The sequence below is a fragment of the Homo sapiens genome, chromosome 6 (assembly GCF_000001405.40).
Source record: "Homo sapiens chromosome 6, GRCh38.p14 Primary Assembly".
Taxonomy (NCBI): Eukaryota; Metazoa; Chordata; class Mammalia; order Primates; family Hominidae; genus Homo; species Homo sapiens.
In genome coordinates, this window is record NC_000006.12 from 126,241,350 (window position 1) to 126,247,536 (window position 6,187).

Here is a 6,187-nt window from a genome sequence, read left to right on the forward strand (position 1 = left end):
AATTCTACCAGAGGTACAAGGAGGAGCTGGTACCATTCCTTCTGAAACTATTCCAATCAATAGAAAAAGAGGGAATTCTCCCTAACTCATTTTATGAGGCCAGCATCATCCTGATACCAAAGCCTGGCAGAGACACAACAAAAAAAGAGAATTTTAGACCAATATCCATGAAGAACATTGATGCAAAAATCCTCAATAAAATACTGGCAAACTGAATCCAGCAACACATCAAAAAGCTTATCCACCATGATCAAGTGGGCTTCATCCCTGGGATGCGAAGCTGGTTCAACATATGCAAATCAATAAACATAATCCAGCATATAAACAGAACTAATGACAAAAACCACATGATTATCTCAATAGATGCAGAAAAGACCTTTGACGAAATACAACAATGCTTCATACTAAAAACTCTCAATAAATTAGGTATTGTTGGGACATATCTCAAAATAATAAGAGCTATTCATGGACAATATCATACTGAATGGGCAAAAACTGGAAGCATTCCCTTTGAAAACTGGCACAAGACAGGGATGCCCTCTCTCACCACTCCTATTCAATATAGTGTTGGAAACTCTGGCCAGGGCAATCAGGCAGGAGAAGGAAATAAAGGGTATTCCATTAGGAAAAGAGGAAGTCAAATTGTCCCTGTTTGCAGATGACATGATTTTATATCTAGAAAACCCCATCGTCTCAGCCCAAAATCTCCTTAAGTTGATAAGCAACTTCAGCAAAGTCTCAGGATACAAAATCAATGTGCAAAAATCACAAGCATTCTTATATACCAATAACAGACAAACAGAGAGCCAAATCATGAGTGAACTCCCATTCACAATTGCTTCAAAGAAAATAAAATACCTAGGAATCCAACTTACAAGGGAAGTGAAGGACCTCTTCAAGGAGAACTACAAACCACTGCTCAACTAAATAAAAGAGGACACAAACAAATGGAAGAGCATTCCATGCTCATGGATAGGAAGAATCAATATCGTGAAAATGGCCATACTGCCCAAGGTAATTTATAGATTCAATGCCATCCCCATCAAGCTACCAATGACTTTCTTCACAGAATTGGAAAAAACTACTTTAAAGTTCATATGGTACCAAAAAAAGCCCACATTGCCAAGTCAATCCTAAGCCAAAAGAACAAAGCTGGAGGCATCACGCTACCTGACTTCAAACTATACTACAAGGCTACAGTAACCAAAACAGCATGGTACTGGTACCAAAACAGAGTTATAGACAAATGGAACAGAACAGAGCCCTCAGAAATAATGCCACACATCTACAACTATCTGATCTTTGAGAAACCTGACAAAAACAAGAAATGGGGAAAGGATTCCCTATTTAATAAATGGTTCTGGGAAAACTGGTTAGCCATATGTAGAAAGCTGAAACTGGACCCCTTCCTTACACCTCATACAAAAATTAATTCAAGATGGACTAAAGACTTAAATGTTAGACCTAAAAACATAAAAACCCTAGAAGAAAACCTAGGCAATACCATTCAGGACATAGGCATGGGCAAGGACTTCATGTCTAAAACACCAAAAGCAATGGCCACAAAAGCCAAAATTGACAAATGGGATCTAACTAAACTAAAGAGCTTCTGCACAGGAAAAGAAACTACCATCAGAGTGAACAGGCAACCTACAGAGTGGGATAAAATTTTTGCTATCTACTCATCTGACAAAGGGCTAATATCCAGAATCTACAAAGAACTCAAACAAATTTACAAGAAAAAATCAAACGACCCCATCAAAAACTAGGCGAAGGATATGAACAGACACTTCTCAAAAGAAGACATTTATGCAGCCAAAAGACACATGAAAAAATGCTCATCATCACTGGCCATCAGAGAAATGCGAATCAAAACCACAATGGGATACCATCTCACACCAGTCAGAATGGCGATCATTAAAAAGTCAGGAAACAACAGGTGCTGGAGAGGACGTGGAGAAATAGGAACACTTTTACACTGTTGGTGGGACTGTAAACTAGTTCAACCATTGTGGAAGTCAGTGTGGCGATTCCTCAGGGATCTAGAACTAGAAATACCATTTGACCCAGCCATCCCATTACTGGGTATATACCCAAAGGAGTATAAATCATGCTGCTATAAAGACACATGCACACGTATGTTTATTGCGGCACTATTCACAATAGCAAAGACTTGGAACTAACCCAAATGTCCAACAATGATAGACTGGATTAAGAAAATGTGCACATATACACCATGGAATACTATGCAGCCATAAAAAAAGATGAATTCATGTCCTTTGTAGGGACATGGATGAAGCTGGAAACCATCATTCTCAGCAAACTATCCCAAGGACAAAAAACTAAACACCGCATATTCACTCATAGGTGGGAATTGAATAATGAGAACACATGGACACAGGAAGGGGAACATCACTCCCCGGGGCCTGTTGTGGGGTGGGCGGAGGTGGGGAGGGATAGCATTAGGAGATATACCTAATGTAAATGACGAGTTCATGGGTGGAGCAAGCCAACATGGCACATGTATACATATGTAACAAACCTGCACGTTGTGCATATGTACCCTAAAACTTAAAGTATAATAAAAAAAGGGCCAGAAGAAAAAAAGCATAGGTAAATATCACAAAAATATGATTCTACCACATTTTAGTTTCCACTTTCTACGTGAGTTTCTGCTATCTGAGCCTTTAGAAAAGAAAGTTAAGGTCTTTTCTATATTTTCTAAAATGTTCTTAGCATTGAACAAAATAGACTCATTCATCTGAGTGATGGGTTTCTAAGCATCTCGTCTCTCTCCTCTTTCTTTTTCATACTACTTCCTTCATTAAAAAAAAAAATCCCCATCAGTGTATGGGAGAAATAAAGTAACATACAGCTAAACTAAAACTCAAATCATTAGTATTTTTTTATAATATAAGCTTAATATAGATGAAGATAGATTGCTGGCATGGTTTGCTATATTCTGTGTTATTTTTAAAACTAAATTATCTGTGATTTTTCTGAGAGTTGTTTGTAAACACACAGGTCAATAAGTCTCTTCTCTCTCTTCCCCGCCTTTCACTTTTACCTTTCCTAGAAGGGCAAAGATTTCCTACTGTAAGATTGCATAGAATCTATGGCCAGTATCAAAAGTTATGATTGAAATGCTCAGACCTAAAGGGCAACTATTACAAGCTTTGCTTCCAAGGGAAATCAGCTTTTGACAGGGTAATTTAAGCCAAAACAAAGGTCAGACTGTCAGAGATACACGTATCCACTTAGGGACGGATGGATTCTAGACAGATATATTCTAGAATAGAATCCACAACTCTAATGTGTTCATGGCTGAAATTTTTCAGTTTCGACACTCTGTCTGACTGAGTTTTGTTACTAAATTTTTTCAACATCCTACTCCATACAGGAACTATCAGTCAATAACAGGTGACACGCAAGGTGCAATTTATTTGATATCCTTGACTAGTGGTTAAAAACGTGGGTTTTGGTATCAGATTGCCTGGGTTTAAGTCCCAACTCTACAGTTTAGAGACTGGGCAAAACAATTTGGTCAAGACGTTTAACTTTTTATGACTTCTCAAAAAGTTATTTTAAAAATTATGTAAAATATTCAATGTAATGAGGTTAGAATAATGTCTATATCCAACACATTATTGTTACTATTATTCATATTAAGGGTTTTCTGTTTAAAATATTTAGATAAAGGTTGACATATGATTTCCAATCTGAGAAAATCCCCATTTGTCTTCAGTTTCTTTTTTTAAATTTAAGAAAGGCTTTATGTTTTCATTGGGAGGATATGTGAGCAATTATTCTAGGAACCCTTGAATATGAAGACAAATTGGGTGGACCCATGAATGATTAGAGCTGGAGGAACTATTTTTGTGTTTAGTATACCACTTTATTGGATGTGCATATAATTGTGCTGTGTGGACAAAGAAGAGTGTTTATTTATTTGCCTTTTATGCATATACATATGCATATGGTACATATGGTGATGGGAGAAACTTGTCTAATTTGAAACTGTTCACCTCCTACTGTAAGATGGCATAGAATCTACGTCCAGTATCAAAAGTTATTATAATTGAATTGCTCAAACTTAAAGGGCAACTGTTAAAAGGTTTGCTTCCAAGGGAAATCAGCCTTTAAAAGGTAATTTAAAGTCAAAACAAAGGTCAGACTGGCAGAGGTACACATATCCACTTAGGGACAGATGGATTGAATCTGCACTTGCATTGGTAGCCAATTAGGTAAGTGAAAACTTCTGCTTTGAGTATTTTAGCTTTAAAAACTTGATATAACAGAAGTTTGATTATAGTAACTGAAATTGGAAGTGGAATTACAGTGCTGTATTATAACTGGAAACTGGAAATTGGTATGGCTCTTTGTTCCTCTCTAGAGTTTTAGTCTCCAGTTTGGTGGTGGGTAGCTAGTGAAGTTTGAATATACTGTATTACCAAAAAACCGTTATAGGCTGGGTGTGGTGGCTCATGCCTATAATTCTAGCTCTTTGGGAGGCCAAGGTGGGAGAATCACTTGAGCCTAGGAGTTCAAGACCAGCTTAGGCAACATATTGAGATCCCATCTCTATTATAAAAAAAGAAAAGAAAAGAAATTAAATTAAAAAATCAGTTATGTAAAAATTATGGGTTGGACACTGTGGCTTATGCCTGTAATTCTAACACTTTGGGAGACTAAGCCCAGATTCGTGCAAATTGCTTGAGCCCAGGAGTTTGAGACCAGCCTGGGCAACATGGTGAAACCTCGTCTCTTAAAAAAAAAATTAGCCAGGTGTAGTGATGTACACCTGTAGTCCCAGCTTGACCCCAGGAGATCGAGGCTGCAGTGGGTGATGGAGTGAGATCTTGCTCCTAAAAGTAATTATGGTAAACAGGAGGCTTATGGTTGAGCTCACACGAAGGTGAACAAATACTTCACTAATTACTGATGCATTTGTGAAAAATAATTGGGAAATAATATGGTGTAGTAGATCACCTTAAAACTCATTCTAGATCCCTTCAGCTCTCACTAGTTAATTAGTTAATTAAGTCAAATATTACTGAGGATCTACCATTTCCTGACATCTGGATGGAAAAGTAAAACATAGTGTGAATGATAATAGTGAGTAGCTCAGAAACTGGAGCCCAGAGGGAGATGAGAGCTGATCATGTGGAATGGGTCCACCTGCATAAAGTGATAGCTGCATCCACGGAAGTGACTGAAAACCCTCCACAGAGAATAAAGTGGAAGAAAAGAGGAGATATTAAAGGATGAAATATCAACACTTAGGGAAAGATAAGAGAAAAGCCAGCACTAATAGGACAAATAAATATCAGAGAAGTGGCAGAGAGCAGGGCTGTGGGAGAAAACTTTGAGGTTGAGGGAGTAAGGTTTCTGGTTCAAGGTGACAGATTGAAAATACATATATCTATTCTCCCTCCATAAATCCCATTAAAATAAAACTTAAAAGTACCAAAGGTAATAAATTTATAGTAGTTCTCAAATCAGGCAGAGACACATGCAAACTATTAATCTTGATTAGTTTCTGGAAGATAGAAAATATGTTACATATTAAGAAATGGAGAAGCAGGAGCGCAGCCTACAATTTGCACTCACAGAGGGCTGCGGTGAAGGTAGAAGTCATGCTGCCTGAGGCTGGTGCTTCCGAAGTTCTGCCAACCTGGAGATAAGACTTCCAGCTTTTGAAGAAGGCAGTGGCCAGAGGTCTAGGTGTATGGTTGTTCTCCAAACAGCTGTTCCTCGCTGTATGGGCTTAGCTTGCTCCCTGATTTCTGCTCACATGGTTTAAAAAGACTTGTGGGCTCAAAGCTTACAATCCATCTCTCCTATTGAAGAGCCTTGTGGGGAATAGGACTGCATGCTGGCAGAGAGAGCCCAGACTAGCAAAGTGTATCAACTAAACTAGCCCTCAGTTCATAACTTTAAATTGGCAAATATCATAACAGAGGAGAAATAATCTTATACACACACACATGCACGCACACACGCACACACATATACACACACACAGTACCAAGAAGAACGAATGAGTTATCACCGCACCCAGCCAATAAACAGATAATTTAGGACACAGAACATATCTATCTATCTATCTATCTATCTATCTATCTATCTATCTATCTATCTAAAATACCTATCTCTCTCTATATATAAATATATAAATAAATATATA

The 6,187-nt window shown here is 37.8% G+C and overlaps 1 protein-coding gene across 8 annotated transcripts in view; it reads left to right on the forward strand.

Annotated features, from left to right (window-relative positions):
* TRMT11 (tRNA methyltransferase 11) overlaps positions 1-6,187 on the forward strand; it is a 285,804-nt gene that overhangs the window by 254,810 nt on the left and 24,807 nt on the right. The gene's annotated exons all lie outside the window — the stretch shown is intronic.